General features: G+C 40.2%; 1 long non-coding RNA gene across 1 annotated transcript in view, besides 1 other annotated feature; it reads left to right on the top strand.

The window, feature by feature from the left end:
• Nucleotides 1-26,312, top strand: part of LOC105374264 (uncharacterized) — a 59,909-nt gene that overhangs the window by 21,915 nt on the left and 11,682 nt on the right. The gene's annotated exons all lie outside the window — the stretch shown is intronic.
• Nucleotides 5,381-6,031: an enhancer, noted in NCBI's record as "OCT4-NANOG-H3K27ac-H3K4me1 hESC enhancer chr3:187580545-187581195 (GRCh37/hg19 assembly coordinates)". NCBI's record gives its function as "activates a minimal SCP1, AML or CMV promoter by ChIP-STARR-seq in naive and primed H9 embryonic stem cells {active_cell/tissue: H9 hESC(naive and primed)}" and the evidence as "EXISTENCE:reporter gene assay evidence [ECO:0000049][PMID:30033119]".

The following is a 26,312-nucleotide window of genomic DNA, read 5'->3' as shown; positions in this document are numbered from 1 at the left end:
TTATGTTTTGTTAATTCTGGAGGAATTATCTCCATTATTCCTTCAAATATTTCCTTCTCTCCATTTACAACTATTTTTTTTCTTTCTAGGACTGCTTTTGCCTTTTATATCTTGACTTTTACATTTTCTATTTTTAAAATAATTTTCTGCTAAGTAAAATTCCTCAAGCTGATCTCTTAGTTCACGAACTTATTCCTCAGCTAAATCTTTTCTACTAGTTATCACCATTATCTTAACTATTATATTTGTCACACCTAAATTTTTACTTGATTTTTTTTTTTATTACTATACTTTAAGTTTTAGGGTACATGTGCACATTGTGCAGGTTAGTTACATATGTATACATGTGCCATGCTGGTGCGCTGCACCCACTAACTTGTCATCTAGCATTAGGTATATCTCCCAGTGCTATCCCTCTCCCCTCCCCCCACCCCACAACAGTCCCCAGAGTGTGATATTCCCCTTCCTGTGTCCATGTGATCTCATTGTTCAATTCCCACCTATGAGTGAGAATATGTGGTGTCTGGTTTTTTGTTCTTGCGATAGTTTACTGAGAATGATGATTTCCAATTTCATCCATGTCCCTACAAAGGACATAAACTCATCATTTTTTATGGCTGCATAGTATTCCATGGTGTATATGTGCCACATTTTCTTAATCCAGTCTATCATTGTTGGACATTTGGGTTGGTTCCAAGTCTTTGCTATTGTGAATAATGCCGCAATAAACATACGTGTGCATGTGTCTTTATAGCAGCATGATTTATAGTCCTTTGGGTACATACCCAGTAATGGGATGGCTGGGTCAAATGGTATTTCCAGTTCTAGATCCCTGAGGAATCGCCACACTGACTTCCACAATGGTTGAACTAGTTTACAGTCCCACCAACAGTGTAAAAGTGTTCCTATTTCTCCACATCCTCTCCAGCACCTGTTGTTTCCTGACTTTTTAATGATTGCCATTCTAACTGGTGTGAGATGGTATCTCATTGTGGTTTTGATTTGCATTTATTTCTCTGATGGCCAGTGATGATGAGCATTTTTTCATGTGTTTTTTGGCTGCATAAATGTCTTCTTTTGAGAAGTGTCTGTTCATGTCCTTCGGCCACTTTTTGATGGGGTTGTTTGTTTTTTTCTTGTAAATTTGTTTGAGTTCATTGTAGATTCTGGATATTAGCCCTTTGTCAGATGAGTAGGTTGTGAAAATTTTCTCCCATTCTGTAGGTTGCCTCTTCACTCTGATGGTAGTTTCTTTTGCTGTGCAGAAGCTCTTTAGTTTAATTAGATCCCATTTGTCAATTTTGGCTTTTGTTGCCATTGCTTTTGGTGTTTTAGACATGAAGTCCTTGCCCATGCCTATGTCCTGAATGGTAATGCCTAGGTTTTCTTCTAGGGTTTTTATGGTTTTAGGTCTAACGTTTAAGTCTTTAATCCATCTTGAATTGATTTTTGTATAAGGTGTAAGGAAGGGATCCAGTTTCAGCTTTCTACATATGGCTAGCCAGTTTTTCCAGCACCATTTATTAAATAGGGAATCCTTTCCCCATTGCTTGTTTTTCTCAGGTTTGTCAAAGATCAGATAGTTGTAGATATGCGGCGTTATTTCTGAGGGCTGTGTTCCGTTCCATTGATCTATATCTCTGTTTTGGTACCAGTACCATGCTGTTTTGGTTACTGTAGCCTTGTAGTATAGTTTGGAGTCAGGTAGTGTGATGCCTCCAGCTTTGTTCTTTTGGCTTAGGATTGACTTGGCGATGCGGGCTCTTTTTTGCTTCCATATGAACTTTAAAGTAGTTTTTTCCAATTCTGTGAAGAAAGGCATTGGTAGCTTGATGGGGATGGCATTGAATCTGTAAATTACCTTGGGCAGTATGGCCATTTTCACGATATTGATTCTTCCTACCCATGAGCATGGAATGTTCTTCCATTTGTTTGTATCCTCTTTTATTTCCTTGAGCAGTGGTTTGTAGTTCTCCTTGAAGAGGTCCTTCACGTCCCTTGTAAGTTGGATTCCTAGGTATTTGATTCTCTTTGAAGCAATTGTGAATGGGAGTTCACTCATGATTTGGCTCTCTGTTTGTCTGTTGTTGGTGTATAAGAATGCTTGTGATTTTTGTACATTGATTTTGTATCCTGAGACTTTGCTGAAGTTGCTTATCAGCTTAAGGAGATTTTGGGCTGAGACAATGGGGTTTTCTAGATATACAATCATGTCGTCTGCAAACAGGGACAATTTGACTTCCTCTTTTCCTAATTGAATACCCTTTATTTCCTTCTCCTGCCTAATTGCCCTGGCCAGAACTTCCAACACTATGTTGAATAGGAGTGGTGAGAGAGGGCATCCCTGTCTTGTGCCAGTTTTCAAAGGGAATGCTTCCAGTTTTTGCCCATTCAGTATGATATTGGCTGTGGGTTTGTCATAGATAGCTCTTATTATTTTGAAATACGTCCCATCAATACCTAATTTATTGAGAGTTTTTAGCATGAAGGGTTGTTGAATTTTGTCAAAGGCTTTTTCTGCATCTATTGAGATAATCATGTGGTTTTTGTCTTTGGCTCTGTTTATATGCTGGATTACATTTATTGATTTGCGTATATTGAACCAGCCTTGCATCCCAGGGATGAAGCCCACTTGATCATGGTGGATAAGCTTTTTGATGTGCTGCTGGATTCGGTTTGCCAGTATTTTATTGAGGATTTTTGCATCAATGTTCATCAAGGATATTGGTCTAAAATTCTCCTTTTTTGTTGTGTCTCTTCCTGGCTTTGGTATCAGAATGATGCTGCCCTCATAAAATGAGTTAGGGAGGATTCCCTCTTTTTCTATTGATTGGAATAGTTTCAGAAGGAATGGTACCAGTTCCTCCTTGTACCTCTGGTAGAATTTGGCTGTGAATCCATCTGGTCCTGGACTCTTTTTGGTTGGTAAGCTATTGATTATTGCCACAATTTCAGATCCTGTTATTGGTCTATTCAGAGATTCAACTTCTTCCTGGTTTAGTCTTGGGAGAGTGTATGTGTTGAAGAATTTATCCATTTCTTCTAGACTTTCTAGTTTATTTGCATAGAGGTGTTTGTAGGATTCTCTGATGGTAGTTTGTATTTCTGTGGGATCGGTGGTGATATCCCCTTTATCATTTTTTATTGCGTCTATTAGATTCTTCTCTCTTTTTTTCTTTATTAGTCTTGCTAGCGGTCTATCAATTTTGTTGATCCTTTCAAAAAACCAGCTCCTGGATTCATTAATTTTTTGAAGGGTTTTTTTGTGTCTCTATTTCCTTTAGTTCTGCTCTGATTTTAGTTATTTCTTGCCTTCTGCTAGCTTTTGAATGTGTTTGCTCTTGCTTTTCTAGTTCTTTTAATTGTGATGTTAGGGTGTCAATTTTGGATCTTTCCTGCTTTCTCTTGTGGGCATTTAGTGCTATAAATTTCCCTCTACACACTGCTTTGAGTGCGTCCCAGAGATTCTGGTATGTTGTGTCTTTGTTCTCATTGGTTTCATAGAACATCTTTATTTCTGCCTTCATTTCATTATGTACCCAGTAGTCATTCAGGAGCAGGTTGGTCAGTTTCCATGTAGTTGAGCGGTTTTGAGTGAGATTCTTAATCCTGAGTTCTAGTTTGATTGCACTGTGGTCTGAGAGATAGTTTGTTACAATTTCTGTTCTTTTACATTTGCTGAGGAGAGCTTTACTTCCAAGAATGTGGTCAATTTTGGAATAGGTGTGGTGTGGTGCTGAAAAAAATGTATATTCTGTTGATTTGGGGTGGAGAGTTCCGTAGATGTCTATTAGGTCCGCTTGGTGCAGAGCTGAGTTCAATTCCTGGTTATCCTTGTTGACTTTCTGTCTTGTTGATCTGTCTAATGTTGACAGTGGGGTGTTAAAGTCTCCCATTATTAATGTGTGGGAGTCTAAGTCTCTTTGTAGGTCACTCAGGACTTGCTTTATGAATCTGGATGCTCCTGTATTGGGTGCATATATATTTAGGATAGTTAGCTCTTCTTGTTGAATTGATCCCTTTACCATTATGTAATGGCCTTCTTTGTCTCTTTTGATCTTTGTTGGTTTAAAGTCTGTTTTATCAGAGGCTAGGATTGCAACCCCTGCCTTTTTTTGTTTTCATTTGCTTGGTAGATCTTCCTCTATCCTTTGATTTTGAGCCTATGTGTGTCTCTGCACGTGAGATGGGTTTCCTGAATACAGCACACTGATGGGTCTTGACTCTTTATCCAATTTGCCAGTCTGTGTCTTTTAATTGAAGCATTTAGTCCATTTACATTGAAAGTTAATATTGTTATGTGTGAATTTGATCCTGTCATTATGATGTTAGCTGGTTATCTTGCTTGTTAGTTGATGCAGTTTCTTCCTAGTCTCGATGGTCTTTACATTTTGGCATGATTTTGCAGTGGCTGGTACCGGTTGTTCGTTTCCATGTTTAGCGCTTCCTTCAGGAGCTCTTTTAGGGCAGGCCTGGTGGTGACAAAATCTCTCAGCATTTGCTTGTCTGTAAAGTATTTTATTTCTCCTTCACTTATGAAGCTTAGTTTGGCTGGATATGAAATTCTGGGTTGAAAATTCTTGTCTTTAAGAATGTTGAATATTGGCCCCCACTCTCTTCTGGCTTGTAGGGTTTCTGCCAAGAGATCTGCTGTTAGTCTGATGGGCTTCCCTTTTAGGGTAACCCGACCTTTCTCTCTGGCTGCCCTTAACATTTTTTCCTTCATTTCAACTTTGGTGAATCTGACAATTATGTGTCCTGGAGTTGCTCTTCTCGAGGAGTATCTTTGTGGCGTTCTCTGTATTTCCTGAATCTGAACGTTGGCCTGCCTTGCTAGATTGGGGAAGTTCTCCTGGATAATATCCTGCAGAGTGTTTTCCAACTTGGTTCCATTCTCCCCATCACTTTCAGGTACACCAATCAGACGTAGATTTGGTCTTTTCACATAGTCCCATATCTCTTGGAGGCTTTGCTCATTTCTTTTTATTCTTTTTTCTCTAAACTTCCCTTCTCACTTCATTTCATTCATTTCATCTTCCATCACTGATACCCTTTCTTCCAGTTGATCGCATCGGCTCCTGAGGCTTCTGCATTCTTCACGTAGTTCTCGAGCCTTGGTTTTCAGCTCCATCAGCTCCTTTAAGCACTTCTCTGTATTGGTTATTCTACTTATACATTCTTCTAAATTTTTTTCAAAGTTTTCAACTTCTTTGCCTTTGGTTTGAATGTCCTCCCGTAGCTCAGAGTAATTTGATCGTCTGAAGCCTTCTTCTCTCAGCTCGTCAAAGTCATTCTCCATCCACCTTTGTTCCATTGCTGGTGAGGAACTGCGTTCCTTTGGAGGAGGAGAGGCGCTCTCCTTTTTAGAGTTTCCAGTTTTCCTGTTCTGTTTTTTCCCCATCTTTGTGGTTTTATCTACTTTTGGTCTTTGATGATGGTGATGTACAGATGGGTTTTTGGTGTGGATGTCCTTTCTGTTTGTTAGTTTTCCTTCTAACAGACAGGACCCTCAGCTGCAGGTCTGTTGGAATACCCTGCCGTGTGAGGTGTCAGTGTGCCCCTGCAGGGGGGTGCCTCCCAGTTAGGCTGCTCGGGGGTCGGGGTCAGGGACCCACTTGAGGAGACAGTCTGCCTGTTCTCAGATCTGCAGCTGCATGCTGGGAGAACCACTGCTCTCTTCAAAGCTGTCAGACAGGGACATTTAAGTCCTCAGAAGTTACTGCTGTCTTTTTGTTTGTCTGTGCCCTGCCCCCAGAGGTGGAGCCTACAGAGGCAGGCAGGCCTCCTTGAGCTGTGGTGGGCTCCACCCAGTTCGAGCTTCAGGGCTGCTTTGTTTACCTAATCAAGCCTGGGCAGTGGCGGGCGCCCCTCCCCCAGCCTCGCTGCCACCTTGCAGTTTGATCTCAGACTGCTGTGCTAGCAACCAGCGAGACTCCGTGGGCGTAGGACCCTCCGAGCCAGGTGTGGGGTATAATCTCGTGGTGCGCCGTTTTTTAAGCCCGTCGGAAAAGCGCAGTATTCGGGTGGGAGTGACCCGATTTTCCAGGTGCCGTCCGTCACCCCTTTCTTTGACTCGGAAAGGGAACTCCCTGACCCCTTGCGCTTCCCAAGTGAGGCAATGCCTCGCCCTGCTTCGGCTCGCGCACGGTGTGCGCAACCACTGACCTGCGCCCACTGTCTGGCACTCCCTAGTGAGATGAACCCGGTACCTCAGATGGAAATGCAGAAATCACCCGCCTTCTGCCTCGCTCCCGCTGGTAGCTGTAGACCGGAGCTGTTCCTATTCGGCCATCTTGGCTCCTCCCCCCATGCTTGATTCTTTTTATGGTTTATTGTTTTCATTTCATATTGCTAACATTATACCTTATTTAAAAATATGCATATGTAAATTTTTAATCTGTCTGTTCTAACACCTCTGGTTTCTATGGAATCTGTAATTCAGTTTGTTGGTTTTTCTTTTTTTTTTCTTTTTCTTCTTTTAAATTATACTTTAAGTTCTGGGATACATGTGCAGAATGTGCAGGTTTGTTACCTAGGTATCTACACATGTACCATGGTGGTTTACTGCACCCATCAACCTGTCATCTACATTAGGTATTTCTCCTAATGCTTTCCCTCCCCTAGCCCCTCACCCCCTGACAGGCCCCAGTGTGTGATGTTCCCCTCCTGTGTCCATGTGTTCTCATTGTTCAACTCCCATTTATGAGTGAGATCATGCAGTGTTTGGTTTTCTGTTCCTGTGTTAGTTTGCTGAGAATGATGGTTTCCAGCTTCATCCATGTTCGTGTAAAGGGCATGAACTCATCCTTTTTTGTGACTGCATAGTATTCCATGGTGTATATGTGCCACATTTTCTTTATCCAGTATATCATTGATGGTCATTTGGGTGGGTTCCAAGTCTTTGCTATTGTGAATAGGGCTGCAGTAAACATATGTGTGCATGTGTCTTTATAGCAGAATGATTTATAATCCTTTGGGTGTATACCCAGTAATGGGATTGCTGGGTCAAATGGTATTTCTGTTTCCAGATCCTTGAGGAATCACCACACTATCTTCTACAATGGTTGAACTAATTTACACTCCCACCAACAGTGTAAAAGCATTTCTATTTCTCCACATCCTCTCCAGCATCTGTTGCTTCCTGACTTTTTAATGATTGCCATTCTAACTGACTTGAGATGGTAACTCACTGTGGTTTTGATTTGCATTTCTGTAGTGACCAGTGATGATGAGCTTTTTTTTTCTTATGTTTGTTGGCTGCATAAATGTCTTCTTTTGAGAAGTGTCTGTTCATGTCCTTTGCCCATTTTTTGATGGAGTTGTTTGTTTTTTTCTCATAAATTTGTTTAAGTTGTAGATTCTGGATATTAGCCCTTTGTCAGATGGATAGATCGCAAAAATTTTCTCCCATTCCGTAGGTTGCCTGTTCACTCTGATGGTAGTTTCTTTTGCTGCACAGAAGCTCTTTAGTTTAATTAGATCCCATTTGTTTATTTTGGCTTTTGTTGCCTTTGCTTTTGGTATTTTAGTCATGAAGTCTTTGCTCATGCCTATGTCATGAATGGTATTGCCTAGGTTTTCTTCTAGGGTTTTTATGGTTTTAGGTCTTATGTTTAAGTCTTTAATCCATCTTTAGTTAATTTTTGTAGAAGGTGTAAGGAAGGGGTCCAGTTTCAGTTTTCTGCATATGGCTAGCCAGTTTTCCCAACACCACTTATTAAATAGGGAATCCTTTCCCCATTGCTTGTTTTTGTCAGGTTTTTCAAAGATCAGATGGTTGTAGATGTGTGGTGTTATTTCTGAGGCCTCTGTTCTGTTCCATTGGCCTATATATCTGTTTTGGTACCAGTACCATGCTGTTTTCATTACCGTAGCTTTGTAGTATAGTTTGAAGTCAGGTAGCATGATGCCTCTGTTTTGATCTTTTGGCTTAGGATTGTCTTGGCTATATGGGCTCTTTTTTGGTTCCATATGAAATTTAAAGTAGTTTTTTTTTTTCTAATTCTGAGAAGAAAGTCAATGGTAGCTTGATGGGGATAGCATTGAATCTATAAATTACTTTGGGCAGTATGGCCATTTTCATGATATTGATTCTTCCTATCTATGAGCATGGAATGCTTTTCCATTTGTTTATGTCCTCTCTTATTTCCTTGAGCAGTAGTTTGTAGCTGTCCTTGAAGAGTCCTTCACAACCCTTGTAAGCTGTATTCTTAGGTATTTTATTCCCTTTGTAGCAATTGTGAATGGGAGTTCACTCATGATTTGGCTCTCTGTTTGTCTATTATTGGTATATAGGAATGCTTGTGATTTTTGCACATTGATTTTGTATCCTGAGACTTTGCTGAAGTTGCTTATCAGCTTAAGGAGATTTTGGGCTGAGACAATGGGGTTTTCAAATAGACATTCATGTCATCTGGAAACAGAGAGCATTTGACTTCCTCTCTTCCCATTTGAATACCCTTTATTTCTTTCTCTTGCCTGGTTGCCCTGGACAGAACTTCCAATACTATGCTGAATAGGAGTGGTGAGGGAGGGCATCCTTGTCTTCTGCCGGTTTTCAAAGGGAATGCTTCCAGCTTTTGCCATTCAGTATGATATTGGCTGTGGCTGTGTCATAAATAGCTCTTATTGCATTGAGATAAATTTTGACTTAGTGATCTCCTCATTCACTAAGTCATTTCTCAACAGAATCTTTTCTACTAGTTATCATCATTATCTTAACTATTATATTTGTCACACCTAAATTTATACTTGATTCCTTTTTTTTTTTTTTTTTGAAATGGAGTCTCACTCTGAGACCCAGGCTGGAGTGCAGTGGCACGATCTCGGCTCACTGCAACCTCTGCCTCCCAGGTTCAAGCAATTCCCTTGCCTCAGCCTCCCAAGTAGCTGGGATTACAGGTGCACACCAACATGCCCAGCTAATTTTTGTATTTTTAGTAGACACAGGGTTTCACCATGTGGGTCAGGCTGGTCTCGAACTCCTACCTCAGGTGATCCACCAGCCTCAGCCTCCCAAAGTGCTGGGATTACAGGCGTGAGCCACCACGCCCGGCCTATACTTGATTCTTTTTATGATTTCTTGTTTTCATTTCATATTGCTAATATTATACCTTATTTAAAAATATGCATACATAAATTTTTAATCTGTCCATTCTAATACCTCTGGTTTCTATGGAATCTATAATTCAAGTTGTTGGTTTTCCTTTTTCTTTCTTTTTTAAAAAAATTAGTGCTTCTCTTTAGATCCAGCTTCCATTTCTTTAGGGTATAGATTATTCTGTCCAGCAATGCCAATGACTGAAGGGTTGAAGGTCAAACTTCCGTCTGCACTGACCTGCCTTGATGAGTTTGAGATGGGGATAGAGCGAAGCATGCACCTAGAGTGGTGGGTTTCAGGCATCAGGAAACCAGAGTATATCACTCCTCATCCACCACACAGCTCCTCAGATGTATTCTTTACTTTAGAAAGAACTAGCATCCGGGAAAGGCGATGGTAATCCACCAGCCCTGGCGGTTTAGAGGGAGAGAGTTGGGCAGTGACCACCTGTGGCCCATCCATCATTGTCTATTTTTTTTCTCACTCCCACCCAGGCACAGGGCTTCCACACTACCCTAGTTTTACATCCCAGGAGCACTTGTTCAAGAGTTCTAAGCTCGTGCCGTGTCTGTCCCAAAACAGTGAGAGTGAGAGGGAGGAGAAATGAAGTCTAAGAAGCAACAGCTTTTATTTCATCCTTCTACAGCAGCCTGGATACCTTTTGCTTTAGGCTAAGACCTTTCCAGATACACATACTTGACAGTTAAAAAGAGTTTCTGTCTCCCCAGGGGTTCCTCATAGCTCTCTCTACCTCTCAGTGTTTTTCTCTATAGTTCCCTAGAGCTGCTAAGTCAGCTATTTCAGCATCTTCTTTGGAATTCCACTTGACTTTTCCTTCTTACAGGCTACATGCTGTCTTTCCCCATCTGCCTTCCTTTAAAACATAGGTATCCCTGGGATGGCAGCACGCTGAGTGCCGCTGTCAGCAGGTGCACTGGGTCAGCTCTCCTTATGAACTGGAAGAGGGATGAGTGCCTAGGGTAAATGGAAGGAGAACTGACCAGAAGTTAGGATGGGGCTTGTGTCTCATTCAGTCCCAGACTTGCTGGGTGGCTTTAGACAAGTCGCTTCACTTCCCTAAGCCTCAATATTCTCTTCTGAAAAGTCAAGTGAATAATAACACCCACCTCATTGGGCTGATGAAAGATTCAGATGAGAAATTGGATGTGAAAGGACTTTGAAACTGTAACATGAGGTGATTTTATTGATCATCTGGAGGCAGGGAAAGAAGCCTTGGGGTAGGTGAAAATTCACTTTGCCAACCTCAAAATTGCACTAAGTGTTGGCCCTGTTAAAAAAGCCTGATGCAACTGAACATTCCCTTAATATAGAGAATGACGAATCTGTATTTGTTGCCAGAGTTGTCACATTCTTCCAAGAGTGCAGACTTTTATGGGCCCCTGGAAGCTCCGCCGGGGTCTATTTCTGAGGATGGGAACATTGTGCTTCGTTGGCAGGCTTCTTAAACCAAGGCCTCTTGTGGTCATTGAAGAATCTGGGTCTGCCTTTTCAATGTTGGGGTCAAGGTATTAGATCCAGTCAGCCAATGTTCGCTGATTTGGATTCACAGCTTCTGCTAAACTTGGTGCATTTTGCTTCTTTGTTTGATGGGGGTCTTTTTCTAGTCTTGTTAGATGACTGAGAAGTGGGAAAATAGAATGGAGCTGGTCCAAATCAAAGACAAGTAGCAGAGGTGGAAATGAATAAGAATAATGTGTTCTCTGGGAATTTATACAAGGACAAGGCTAATGAGACTTTGTTTTCAATTACTTAAAATGTAGTTTGTCATTGAAAAGATGATGTAATGTCTTTAAAACAGAAAACAAGCCAGAATCCCACACCATATCCAACTATTTGTATTTTTGCACATTCTTATCTATTTCTTGTCTTTTCATCATGCATGCATAATGTATATTTCATTTTATGGCCTGAATTTTTTTCACTTAACATTACATAATAAGCATTTTCCTTTTAAAGTTTGCATTTTCATGACTAGCTAATATAATTTTTGATGCTGTTTTATAATTAATAATGCCATTCCCTTACTTGAGACCTTGGAGTTGTCTTTAACTTTTTGTTTATTTGCTTGCTTTTTTGCTATTGTAGTGTCATGAACATCTTTGTACATTTTGCTTTTTGCTGTTATTGAGTTATTACCTTTGCATAAATTCCAAAATTCCTAACAGTGACATGGCTGGGAAATTATGTCTAGGCATCTTTATGACTCTTGTATTCTATTTTCAAAAAACAAAAAAAAAACATCTTTCAAGCATTCACTGTTTGCTCAAAGATTTTTCTACTTTAATATGTAAGTGTTTCAAATTTGTTTTCTTTTGTACTTTACTGTTTAACAGCAAAGTTTAATGCTTTCCATGTGTTTTGGGTTTCTTTAAATCATATTATTAAAATTAAAAAATATTCTGCCATATGTTTTCAGAATTTTTTGAAAACACCCAAGAAAATATCCCAAAAAATATTTCCTAAGGAGTTCACATTTCCAAATTAATCAGCTATAAGTGCTTTGTGGCCACAAAGCAAACAGAAGTGTCAAGCTAATTTGTCTTTCATTTATCTCATTAAGTGACTCTCATGTGTAATTCAAGTCCTGTCAGCAGTGTTTTAAGGAATATTGAAAAAAGACAGGGACATTACCCCCCAAAAGTTTCCATTCCAGTAAAGTTATTATCATATGACTGACCAGCCTTCAAAAATTGCTCAGTGTTGTAAGAAAAGGACAGAATAAGAGCTATGGGATTCAGAGAATGGGGAGATTATTTCCAGCTTGAGTGACAGAATGTGAAGAGTCAGAGAAGGCTTATTGGAGGAAATTGTATCTGAGCTGAATGAATAGGATGTGAGGTAGGGCCTATCTTAGGGTAGCAGAGGGAAGTGAGCTGGTGAGAATCTTTTGCCCATCTTATGTGAGGGAGCTCTTGACATTTTAACTGTCTTCTAAATTGTAGCCACTCCTTTCCAGATTGGGAAATGGAGTGAGGCAGCGATGACCAATTCATGGTCACATGAAAGGGACAGTTCACATGAAAGGGACAGGTTTCCACATAATGCGGCTTAAAAAAAAAAAAAACTTGAAGAAAACAAAAAGGGGCCAGTTTCAACTGACTCCATATAGGTCTTTCAACTTTCCATTTTGAAAGACCTATAATTCGCAATGAAGTTTATTACCTTCCAATCCCTTCTATAACTTGGCAGACAAAGAAATCGAGGTATTATTTGTTGCCCTGGAATAGACACATAAGGCTACTTGCTACTGGATGCGAATAGTCCAGAACCCTGGCTGTTCTGTTCCTGCTGATTGATGGTTCAGGAGGCTGAAAGGATCAAGATCTGGGCACTCTTAGGACCCACTGGGCAAACACTACATGGAAAGTTCTGCAGGTAGGTAAAGATGATTAATAAAAACAGTTTCCAGACCTAATCAGCGTGATATATAATAAATGAATTGGGCATTGAGACTGGTAAAGAAAAAAAATTATTATGGCCCTTGATTGGTCCTACCGTCACCACGCTGTCTACCATAAGATAGAGAATTTTTAGTGTTACACAGAAAATAACATAATACAACTCTGAAATTTTGATCATTTGTGTGATCAGATAAGTTGTGTTTTGCATTATCATTCAAAGAGCAAAAGCCTTCACTAGCACTCTTTTTTCCACCTACAACAGAAGTTGTCTCAACAATAGCTTAGACATCGATTAGAATAATAGGTTTGAAGGTACCTTAGGCGCTTCTAATCCACTCTTTTTCCCAGTGAAAGAATCCTTTCCATAGTTTTTCTGATAAGCCACTGGCACCCACTAACAACCCAAGCCTGAAAAGCATCCAAAGACCGGATATTTACCTATGAAACATGTTATGGACCAGTTGATGATAATAATGTTTTGCACTTACCTGATGATGTCATTTCAGTAGGTTCAAAACAAGGGATCAAATAATACTCCCATGCCAAGCAGGCAGAAAGGTAGCAAATAGATTTCTTAGAATCCTCATTTCACAAATAGAGCAATTTAGTTTACGTATTTGCTGATTTATTTAACCCCTATCTCGTTTCAGAATTGTTTCAAGTAGACAGGGTACTTTGGTTTCTGGATTCAATAGCGGTTGAAAGGTTAGAAAACAGTTTAAAAGAAGGGAAGCTCTTTGCATAATAGAGAAAAATAGATTTGCATGAATATATTTTGTAAAAGTTGCACAATTGGGTGCAATGCTTCTGTAGAAAAATTCCTGAAAACATTCAGTGCACCACTGTACTTATTATATTAAAAATTCTAGCAGCTGTGCTTTTCTTCTAAATTAAGGAAATAAAGGAGTATCATGAGCTAATGCCACATCAAAGTGGCATGTTTCAACACTTCAACATCATGTGTTGCCAGAGTCAAGTTTTCCAGGAGCCCTGGCTCACCCCTCTGTTCCTGGAGGCAGATGTTGGAGTGGTCACTCCAGGGCAGCGGCAGTCAGAATTTCTTGGTTCTCCTTCCAGATTGTGGCGAGGTACTGGATATGCTTTTTCCCACCTTAGTTAGTTTCTCTGGCAAATCCCTTTGCCATGTAAAGGGATCATGGTCAAATGGACACATTTGAAAGGTTGCCATGTGGAAAAGGAGCATAGGCCTATTCTGCATGATCCCAGAGGATACAACTAAGACTGACAAGATAGTCCCTGCTGCAAAGAGATGGATTTGGACTTTATATAAACTATGAGGAAAATAAGTCTTCTTAACTATTTAACACTTACAGGATAAACAACCTCATTTGACCTCATTTGCACTATTTAATTTAATTTAATTATTTCAACAACCCAAGAGGCAAGTATTATTAATTTTTAGGGACTGGGAAACTGAGACTCAGACAGGGTAAGTAACTTGACAAAAGTAATGCCATTTCTGAGTGTGCCAGAGCTGAGACTTGAGTCAAGCCAAGCCTTACACCTGCTCAGTCATGTGGAATTAGTTTATGGAATTAACTACTGAGTTAGACTCCCTTGTAGAAAATGGAGTAGGGAAAAACCCATCAAAATCAAACACAAATTAATAAGCAACAGGTTACTGTGCAATTTATAAATGATCGAGGTGGGTCTAACACCTGTAAAGGCATAGATTTAGAAGATGCAAATGCAGACATCTGTAGACATCTAAGGATGTTATAGATCCTGTTTTACGAATGTCTGCATATGCCGAGTGAGGATGAAGGCCTGCCCAAAGGATCCTCATGTAGACATGATCACTATAAACCATGTGAAAAAAGAATCCCAGGCAATGAGAGAGTTGGTCTTTCTGTTCCACCCCTGTCGAGGAAAAGAAAAGAAGCTCTTCCTTTCAGAACATTGTAGAAAAATTGATATTATGACTTAAAACTAAAATACTATGAGGTCCAGGGAAAGGGAGCAATTTTCCCAGGGTTCCCCAGCAAAAAAAGGGACAGGCTTTGCATAGGCACCTAAGTCCCATAAAACCCTCAGGCCTATTGAGGTTCCACTGAGCAGCACGGCCTGTGAGTCTCCATTCTGACCAGGAGGTTCTTTTGCCCCAGGCTGTGGGCTCCATGAGGGCTGGCGGGGCGCCTCTCTCATGCCTCCCACTAGTTTTGAAACCCTGCATCCCCACTGCTAGGTCCTCAATCAGTCTTAGGAATCTCAACCTACTTTCCTAAACCGATTTCCACTATTCCCACTTGCCAAGTTAAGGCACTCAGCTTGCCTAAAAGTACCAGTTAGAAATGGAAAGTGTCTCAGAGATCATCTAATTTAATCCTGGCATTTTACAGATGAGAACACAGGAAGCTCAGAGAGAATTAAGTGGGTTTCCCAGTCACTGGTAAACATTGTGCGTGGTGCCTATTATACGCCATGTCTGATGTTAGGAAGCCCCAGTGGCTATGATGACCTATGAAAATGGGACCTCTCCTGACAAGGAACCCACTAAATATCCAGTTGTAGGTGCCTGGTGGCTGAGCAGGGAAGGCAGGAGCTGAGATTCCTGGGTTCTGGTGTTTTATAATGCTGATTCACAGGCAGACTTTGAATCAGATTGGTCTCTTTCCTGGGCTTCAGTTTCTCCAGTTATACCATAAGTGGGTGAGTGGTTTTCACATTCCTCCTCTGGGGACTGGTGAGGTAATGGCAGGTTTATACTGAGGGAACTTAGGAGACTGAGAGCCCAGAGAAACCAGGGGCCTTGTGGGATGTCTGGCCTGTCTGTGCAGAGTGTTCTGCACATGGCACTCTCCTTGTAGATTCAGAAGGGAAGGCCTGGGGAGAAATGTGGGGGGTGGGGTCGGGTGCGGTGGGGGTGGGGGAACTAGACGTTCCCACTGTTTACAGGTTTGAAGTTTTAGTAATTTAAACTTGGCCCTGGTGCATGTCATACCAAAGGGACCATCCCTGAATGATTCACTTCTCTTCAGAAACTCCCTGTGCCTGGGCTTGCTCCTGGAGGGCAGGGACCTTGGACTTTACTGGCCTCAGTACAGTGCCCGGCTCACTACAGGCACTCAATGCTGTTTGTAATGTGGTGTGCTTTCCTCCTCCAGGGAGCATCTTGGGGTGGTAATAGACCATGAGCTGCTTGCTCCATTTTCTTTGTTTATGAAAGTGCATACCATTAGACAGCCTTGCCTTAAAGGAAAAAGTGCACACTCATCTACTCCTTTGTGAAGTGGTTGAGAGTCTGTCCTGCATGACAGTGCAGTGGCTGCAGCTCCCTGAAGCAAAGCAAAGGATCTCTAGCACTGTGCGGTAATGGAAAGAATATTTAACTAGAAGTCAGGATGCCAGTATCTAAGTACTGGGTCTGTGCTAGGAGACCTTATATGAGTCATAGACATGTGTATGTGGCACTTTAGAGTTTAGAAAATCCTTCCTGTACATGGTTTTATATAGGCTTCACAATAAACCTCTGCATGCAGCAGTATTTCCCCATTTTGTTCCCATTTTCCAGAGAAGGAAAATGAGTCTTGGGGAGGTTAAAGGACTCTGGAGTCCCGGAGATACTTGGCAGTGCTGGGCCTTGATATAAGGTCTTGCCAACATCAGAACCTCTTTTTACGAATGTTCTTTTGATAGCCTAGGTCCCAGGTTCATCTATGCAAACAAAGATAGTGGGCAATCTCTACAATCCTGTTCAACCCTGATATTCTGTGGCCCTATGGATCAATTGAGGCAGGTGCACTTGCTCTCTAATACTGTGTCCTTAGCACTTGAGTTTACACTATGATGTTGTGCTGTGAGACAGAGAGAGATATCAAGGGAAAAAGTGACACCATCACCACCATCTTCTGAGGATGGCGTCAGAGTGAGAAGGGGATTGGCTTTGGAGCCAGATCAAGGCAGCATGACATCTTGTCTCTCTCAGTTATTGACAGTGAGACTTTGGACAAATCTCAAAACCTCTTTGTACCTCTGCTTGGTCTTCTGAGTTTTCAAATGGATGCAAAGATACTTACTTACAGGTTGATGATTGTGTAGATCACATAAAATTGCTTTAAAAAGGCTGATACATTTATTACCTGTATGCAGTTTGTGATGTGTATTAAAAGTTAGGTCCCTTTCCTTACTTTTGTCTGGTAGATATAAAAATTCAGCCTGTTGTCACAACAAAGATTTGCTTAATTTCATGTGGCCCTGACAGTATAAGCTCTGTCTGCTGGAAGGGATAGTGAGACCACTTGCACTCCTATCCATTGGAGTGTATCCAGGGCCAAAAGAGGACAAAGTATGATTTGATTGGAAGTGAGAGTAAATGGGCACAACAAGAAGTATCACTGCATATGAAAAATAATTTGAGAGACCCTTGTCTGCCTTAGTTCATATAAATTATTGATATTAACCATAATAAAATATCCATGTTTACTTTCATATTAAAAGAGCATCTGGCATAGAGCATTGCTCAATACTTATTGGTTGAGGAAGTGAATTCATTTTTGAATGAAAAATAATGCCTTAAAGTGTTTGCCACCAGGTAAAATTGATGTTCTAGGAAGATTCATCATACTTAACTGTGGCCTTCGGTACCTTGCTGCACAACCCCTCACTCCTACCCTGAAGAGTGTGAACCCCACAGAGATTCATTCTTTTATTGTGCAGATGACAGATCTAGACTGGCAGATGTAAAGTTGTAAATGCTGAGTTGGTCTAAAACCCAGGTCTCCTGAGTCTCAGCCCAGGACCATACCACTGAACCACACTGCTTTGTCCTTAGGTTTCCAGACCTTCGGGCTTTCAGCTTCTCTGTATCATCTGCTTTTTTGGTTCCTCCATACACAATACTTGGAGGTTAGAATTGAAGAGCTTTCTGTGCTTTGCTGGGGCCGTGTTTCACAATTTTGACAAATATTCAGCTTGCCCATGTTAGTTTTCAGAATCCTCAGCGTTAACTGTTTGAAGAATATGGTTTGTGAAGGACTTTATGACTGTTTTGATTATTTCTTCCGTGTATATCTCCAAACTATTTGAGTAAAAACATTTTTGTGCTTGGGAGAAAAATACTAAGCCTTGCCTTGTTTCTAAGGAGAGGAAACCGAGGTCCAGGGTGAAGAAATTTTCTCAGTTAGATGTAGTCCCTGGAATGACAGCCTGAGTTCCTGTATTTCATCCTTTTTAGGGACCTATAGCACACTAGTTTTCTGGCTTGGACACAATCTTCCCTGAAACCCAATCTGGGAAACCTTCCAAGCAGAGACACCCAATTTTGCCAACCTTGCTGCCACCTTCCCCAAGATACTCATTTCCCAGCATACCAAACGTTTCCTCTTTCTTCCTTCCCCCACCCCTCTCCTCCTTCCCCTAGATCTCTTCCTCTGCCCAACATTTCCCTGGCTGTCAGAACTTGTTTCTTGTCAATTGCTTCTCCCTAAGCCTAGATACACCCAATGTGGTGTCCTTGACAAAACACTGTGTGGGGGTGATGCAACAGCCCAAGGTGTCAAAATAATTAGGTAATTAAAGCAGGGGAAGGTCAGGGTTTCTTCTGTTTGGAAAGACAAATACACACACAAAGAGAAAAGCAGAACAAGGAAGCCAATTTCACATCTCCTTTGTTTCTCCCTTGCTCCTTGACCCAATGTGAAAGCTTAGTGCCTATGATCAATTCTCTCAGAGTACTGGAATAAGAACCCACCTGACCTAGTATGCTTGGCAAGTTTGAACACCAAGGAATAGAACGTTTAAAGGTTTCAACACACCCTTGTTGTTGTCTTGCCTGTTTGTTTTCACACCAGCCCCACCCTGAGCTTCTACTGGTGCAATGGCCCCAGATGGTGGCTCAATGCCATGGATGGGATATTGCTCAAAGGAGTCTGTGGGTACGAAAGGCGGAGTCTCCTCCCAGGAAACCAAGCCTCAAGGTCATCTTCTCTTGGCTTTTATTTGTTTATTCGCTCAACATTCCACAGTTATTAAGAGCCTGCTATGTTTTAGGGATTGTGCTTGGAACATAGGATGGGGCTGAGAGGAAGCAGAGAGCAATATGAAATAGCCCCTGTCTGTCCGGGAGGAGCTTACTGTCTAGTGAGAAAGTGGCCATATGGGCAAATATCATAGTTTTGCTGGGATGACAAGTCTCTAACTGAGGTCCGAACAAAGTTCTAGAGATCTCAGAGAAGGAAGTGACCAACTCCCTGGAGGACTCTAGGAACAAGTGACAAAGGAGGTGACATTTGAATTATAACTTTAAGGATGAGTGAGGTTTCTCCAGACAAGAGGAGCAAAGAGGTCATTCTAGGCAGAGGAAGAGCATATTCAAAGGCAGGAAGGATGAAAGAGCATATTGCTTTCTGAGAATGTGGAGTTCATTGATACTAAAATTGGGGCTATGCTGGGGTAGGTGGGAATGAAGAGATATGGCTGAATATGTTGATAGGGGCAAAATCAAGGGTGTCCTTAACAAGATGCCTGGAATATGGCCTGCCCTGATGGCATCAGGGCACCACTGGAGATTCTGGGGCACAGGAGATGAGAGTAAATCTATAAGGCAGTGGCGGCAGCAACACTTCCTCCAGTTGTCTTCCTGCTGGGGACACACTCTCAGGTCTCCTCTCCTCAACCATCAGTTCTACTTTTCTCAGCCATTAAATAAGGTAGCTTTCAGCATCAGCCTCTTCCCAGGAAGAGCACACACTCAGATGACTGACTCCGGGGACCCAGAGACTCTCCCACCCACAGCTCAGCCATCCAAGTGAAGTGGAACTGTAGAGTGGTTACACAAAGGGCTTTGGCTTCAGAGTCCCGGTTTTGACTGGCTTCAGACACCCCTGGTTTGAACCTTGCCTCTGCCTGTTATCAGCAATGTTATATTGAGCCAGTGACTGAACTCCTCCAAAGCCTCAGTTTGCCTTTGTAAAATGAGATTGCAGGGTAATCATGCCTTCCTTATTGGGTTTTCTTGGGGAGGTAAATCAAGGGCAACACCATGCAAGTCACCAGTTAGCATAAATTTGCCGTGTTACACAACACCTGATTCATAGCACACGGAAGTGTTTTGTAAATTGCGTATGTGATAGACCTTCCAATTGGCGTTTTTTAGCCCTGTTACCAGCTTAACACATCATGTGTCTTTTGATAATGTGGCACTAAGATGTGGGCAAGAGGCTCCCTTACCTTGGGCCACATACTTTGTTTCTGAAGGTAAATGCCACCATGTACCACAGACAAAATAGCAAATAAACCTGAAAAAGAGGGTGTGGGCATGTCTATCGTTCAGGATCCAGTACTCATAGCTGGCGTAGCTGGACCCATAATCTCAAACATCCGTTTTTGTGACAAAAACCGTTGAGGCCCCCAGATCTACAGATATTTTGCCCTGTGTCGTTGAAACAAAAGGCGAATGTGTCTAGACGCTGTGAATGTTTGAGAGTTGTGCTATTATGGACTTTGGAGATGGGAGTTGTACAATTACGGACTTGGAGATGGATAATGCTTTGAAGTACAAAAAAATATTTGAATGGTTAAAGCACTTAGGTAAGAGAAATAAAACAATTAATTCACTTGTTAAATCCTTCCTCTCAGCATAAATGTAATAGATTCTTGATAACAAAGTAGTGCTGAGTGTCCATTTGCTTGCTTCTCTTTATGTTGTAATCCATGACTCTGAAGGTAGTCACCAGTTAGCATGAATTTGCCATGTTACTTATGGCAGTTGAGGGATAGTTTGCAAAGTGAAATAATTCATATTATTCTTAAATTTGTGTATTTGTAGGTTGAGACATAATCTGTGTGACAAATATGATACAGATTCATAATATTTTCAACTAATTGGCTATTAAAGGCTGGCATTATTAGTAGTTTAATGTTCTTAAAGAAATGATTAAATAAGACAGAATTAAAATTCCAAAAAATTAAAAGAATTAGCTTTACCTAAATAATTTTGATTTAAAATGTTGAGATATATTATCATTTAATTATAGTTTTCTTTTGAATTTTAACTAATAATTTTTAATATTTAAAGTTTTTTTTTTTTTTTTTTGAGACAGAGTCTCGCTCTGTTGCCCAGGCTGAAGGGCAGTTCTGCGATCTCAGCTCATTGCAACCTCCGCCTCCTGGGTTCACGCCATTCTCCTGCCTCAGCCTCCCGAGTAGCTGGGACTACAGGCACCCCCCACCAGGCCTGGCTAATTTTTTTGTATTTTTAGTAGAGACGGGGTTTCACCATATTAGCCAGGATGGTCTCGATCTCCTGACATCGTGATCTGCCCACCTCAGCCTCCCAAAGTGCTGGGATTACAGGCGTGAGAGAAGAAATAATTTTGAAAATGTATACAGAAAGTACTTTTTAAATTTTTTTACATTTACTTTCATTTGCATTTTTAATACAAATATAGTCAAATTGTAGGCACTTTGAATACCGTTAGAATTTGTCATACTGTTTTTTAGATCAGCATTGTCCAGTAGAACTTTCTTATCACAGAAATGTTCTTCACCTGTGCTGCCAAAATGGTAACCACTAGACATATGTGGCTATTGACTATGCGAAATGTGGCTAGTGCAACTGAGGACATTTAACTTTTATTTACTTTTAGTCAATTTAAAATTAAATTTGTATATCTACATGTAGCTAGTGGCCATTGTGTTGAACAGCACATTTTTAGATCATTGAAACAGAACAAGTCTAGAGGATAATTGAAATAGAAAAACACAAAAGGCCTGCAGAAAAGAAGAAAGCTGGAAGAGAAACAGAAATAAAGAGGTGATCTGCCTAATTATTTAAAATAGAAATAATGAGAGTAAGCAAATTGACTTACATGAAGAAAAGCCAGTGTAAACTGGAAAAAAAAATGGAAAAAAAAAGCAGCAGTCGGATAATATACAACAAAGACAAAGCAAATGCTTGAATGTTAGCATCAAGTTTTTAGAATAATAATACTATTTAGCTAAGCATAATGATGCATTCTGTGGCACTAATGGATCAATCATTTCAGGTGAAAAAAAGAGAAAATTTCTGGATCTAGTGGGAATTACGTGGAACGTGGTGTTGAAAGGTCCACACATGTAAGACAGATTAAAAAGGAACAAAATGAATTTTCATTACTCAATTCATCAAGATTGCTCCAGGGGCAAAAGTCACATTGAACAACTAACAGTTATGCATATTACTGAACTATACCGAAAAAGAAAACAAATATATCAAAATTAATATCACTGGTTTTATACTGCCTGTAAAGGTACAGATTTTGATTTCAGTGAACTAAAAAAAAGCAATTTTTAGTTTTAGTCATTTATTTAAAAGATTGGCAAAAGCAATCCTATAATGACACTAACATGGATGATAAGGAAAAAGGTATAGAAGCTAGATTTTAGGCAAAAATCCAGAAGCATTCTTTGTACTATATATGGATCATAATTTAAATTTGTTACTGGAAGATGAGCCTCAATTGTGCTAACTGAAATTACATTTGGAAAAATTCAAAGATTATATTCAGTATTTTGGGGACCTGCCCAAAGATAGAGCATCTTGAAAAAAATATATCATATTTGATCTGACAAGCATTCTTGAACACAGGAAGGAGAATGCTATTAAAACAATTTGATTTAATAGAGACAAGATAGAATATGCACTAGAAGAAATAAGCAAAACAGTAGAATATCCTCAAAGAAATATTGAATTATAGTCTTTGGTGGAAAAAAATTAATTTTGAATTTACACTATCCCCTGTTATTTGGCATGAATTATTGCTTTCTGTTAATATTATTAGCAAAATATTATAACCAAACACATCAAAGTTTCGCTTTTTCACTTTTAAATAATTTTTTTCTTTTTTTAATTCAAAGAAAATGGTTTTTCAGGTCAGGTTCTCTGGCTCATGACTGTGATCCCAGCACTCTGGGAGGCCAGGGAAGGAGGACGTCTTGAGGCCAGGAGTTTAAGACCAGCACGGGCAACATAGCAAAACCTCCTTCTATAAAAAAAATAAGTAAAAATAAAAATTAGCTAGGCATGGTGGTGAGTGTCTGTCGTCCCAACTGCTCAGGAGGCTGAGGCAAGAGTGTTTCTTGGGGCCAGGGTTTCAAAGATGCTGTGAGCTGTGTTTGTGCTACCGTACTCCAGCCTGGGAGAGAAAGAAAGAAGGAAAGAAAGGAAGGAAGGGATGGGAAGGGAAGGGAAAGGAAGGGAAGGGAACATAGAAGAAAGAAAGAGAGAGGGAGGAAGGAAGGGAGGGAGGAAGGAAGGGAGGAAGGAAGGAAGGAAGGGAAGGAGGGAAGGAGGGAGGGGAGAATGAAAGAGAAAGAAAGAAAGAAAATCGTCAGAATTAGAAAACTACAATGTCAAATATGCAATTTAAGTGATATCCCAATAAAATAGAAAAAAAAACTAGAAGAAAATAAAATACCTGGCGTGATTACCAGCGACAAGATTCATGTATAAGTAATCCCCAAATTAACTATATAGCTGTTTTCTAGCTGCTATAGATCAGCTGGAAAATAGAGAAATTTGCTCAAATTTCTCTCCATTAAAGAGAAATTTGAGCAAATTGAGCAATATATTGTTTTCAGTTTTTGTTATTATATTCCAGCATTTTTAAAAAATGGAAAAAAGTTAAGAAATATTGTGGGCACTAGAACTTTGAGAGCCTGTGTAAATGGTGCTGATAGAAGTAATAGAGATGTACTGTAGAAGCATTTTCTGTGGTAGTGATACTTTATCATATGTGACCCATAACAATGCTCAAAAATAAAAAATAAGATTTATGGTTCATTTTAAAATCTAAGTATTGTTATAATAATTTTATTAACAATTCCAGCTGCTATTCTCTCAGGCAAATGGATGCAAGGGATAATCTGGTGTTGAACCCTCCAGGAAACACTTGGAATTTCCTTCTGAGAACTAGAAAAATGGGACTTTTGACAGACAGCTATCCGGGTCATTAAAGATAGAGAAGGAGCATTTTCTGTTTTTTGTTGTGATGATTTCTTTCTTATTGTTGACTTTGGTATTTACTGAGAATACAGACCGCTAATCTTCTGTGAGCCCAAAAATATCTGGGTTTTCTAATTTTTGAGATGTTTATCTGAACTCAGAACTAAGTGACACAGAGACCCGGGCTCTGGTTGTCTAGGAAACATTTGAAACAAGACCAGACGTCTTTTCTCTTAAACATGATCCCCCTTGATTTGTAAGTTCTCATGCATTTGAAGGGCATTTAACTCCCCACATTCATAACGTTTTCTAGCCTTCAGGTATAGGTTGCATTTTGCAAGAGGCATTTGACGCATGACAGGAAGTCTATCAAGGGAAATTATACCTAAACCTATATCTGCATCCGTATCTATCCCTACATCTATAGGGATCTGTCCAGCGTTTCTGTCTTTCAAGTATGCAATTTCAAACTTCTTACCAGTGAGAGAGAGAAATATAAACTGGACCCTTGTTTGAAAATGCGAGTATTAAAAAGAGCCATGTCTAATGTCTAATTCTCTGAAACAATTTCTGGGTGCAATATACCTTTAATGCTAAGGTGTTATTCTTCTAAGTGCCTGGTTAACATAAAGGTTTTATATTATACAAAAACATAATACCATGATTATGGAAATAAAAAGCCACCCACAAGCTTACTATCTTTACAAATCATCTATTTTCATTCTTTCCTGTCTTTTCCAAAAAAGCATATTTTTTTTTCACAGTGTTGGATGTGCAGCACAAATATAATTTTGCATTCTGATCTCCTTCCTAGCATCACACATGAGTAATTCCAGTGTGGTCTTTATAATGACCTATTTGAATGACTTTAAAATATTACTTTAGTGGATATATTATGATTTATGTCAGCATTCAAAAATCATTAAATCTTTGGGGGACATTTAAGTTGTTTCCAATTTACTTTTTACTTCTATTATCAATATCTCTTTGGCCACATTTCTGCCATTTTTTTTGTCTTCAATCATTTTCTAAGAGCAGGATTGTTGAGTTAAAAGAGATGAAAACTTGATGAAATTGTTGGCTGTTACCTCCTTTAATTAATTTACTTTTAATCACAGTCTTTCTCCCTCATTTAAACAAACTAACTTGGTAACTCACTAATTCACTAAATAACTAGCTCAGTGTTCCAGTTTCCTGGTTTGTTCCTGGTCAAATCCAACTGGTTCACAGGGTCCTTTGCCTTTTCTCCTTCCTGACAATGAGCCTCTGGTTTGCAGATCTTTACACAAATAAGTTGCAGTGATAACTTTTTGCCCCAAAGCCTGATCACTTCACAGATCTATTGTCTGACTTCAAGGAATTTCCCCTCTGCAAAAGCCTCGATGGGACAGTGTCAGTGATTGTGAAAGGAGAGTACTGGTAGGTCAGATGAGGCTGGGCTCCTGGCCATCAGCTCTTTCTGTCTCTTACCAATTAGGTCTGTGCCAAGGCATCTTGGGCTCCGCCACCAACTTGTCCCACTGGCTCTTGCTAAAAGGTAGGCAACCATGTGAGCGTGGGCACTGGTGCTGGTACTTACCATATGCCCGCTTTTCCTGGAACTGACCTAGGTCCCATGAGGAACACATTGGGCAGTCAGGCACAATCTTTACCCTCAAGAACACTGTAGGCTGAGGAGATATGTGTGCTCTAAGAATATGGTTGAGAGTTGATGATTCCATAGAGGTTCAGAAGAGAAGGATACTCTCATGGGCCCTAAGGTAGGACTAGAAGGACAGATAGAAATAGGAGAGGCAAGTCATGCGTACAACTGAAGTCCCAACTACTCAGGAGGCTGAGGTGGGGGGATCACTTGAGCTCAGGAGTTAAAGGCTGCAGTGACCTGAGATCATACCACTGCACTCCAGCCTGGGTGACAGAGCGAGAGCCTGTTAAAAAAAAAAAAAAAAAAAAAAAAAAAGGTAGAAAAGAATATAGAGGATATTTATGGTTGGTGCAGAAGTAGTTACGGTTTCAGCCCAGTATCCACAAGCAGAGCTTTTTAATTCATCAGAATTAGAAAAGTACAATGTCAAATGTGCAATTTAAGTGATATCCCAATAAAATAGAAGAAAATAAAATACCTGGTATGATTACCAGAGACAAGATTCATGTATAAGTAATCCCCAAATTAACTATATAACTATTTTCCAGCTGCTATAGATCAGCTGGAAAATAGAGAAATTTGCTCAAATTGGTGTGATGGCTTGATTGCTGCCACGATCAGCTGCCCTCCTCCAGGCTCTGCCTACACCTGCACACAAAACACTATGGCCATGCATAGACAGGGTTTACTCTGACACCCACCACAGTTTTGATCTTCGGGTAAACCTCACACTGTGGGGCCTCAGAGTGTTAGGTTTGCTTCTCTAAGTCCTCCTGAAAGTGATTATTAGCATTTTTTAAAGGTGTTAAATAAAAATTATATAAGGCCATTGTTTTGGACTACACTCCTGCACTAGGTCCCAACAGACCAGAGTAAAAAATCAAAATGATGTCATCCTTGATATAATTCCACGTCACCAAACCTAAGCTAAGTTGTTATCTGACTGGAGGAGAATCAGAAGAATTAGCCAATTTCCCAAACAGGCCAGTTTACATCTTCGGTTGGCATAATAATGAAGTTTCACTTTTTAAATCCTTACACAAAAAAGGTAGGCTGACCATGGATAGAACAGGAGGTCATTATGTTATTGAGACACACCAGGTGCAGAAGGATAAATATCAAATGTTCTCGCTCATGTGTGTGCACTGAAAACTTTGATCCTCTGGAGGCAGAGAGTAGAACAATAGAGGCCAGAGGCTGGGA

The sequence above is a fragment of the Homo sapiens genome, chromosome 3 (genome assembly GCF_000001405.40).
Source record: "Homo sapiens chromosome 3, GRCh38.p14 Primary Assembly".
Classification (NCBI taxonomy): domain Eukaryota; kingdom Metazoa; phylum Chordata; class Mammalia; order Primates; family Hominidae; genus Homo; species Homo sapiens.
Note: the sequence above shows the minus strand (reverse complement) of the source record. Positions and strands in the feature narration are given on the sequence as shown.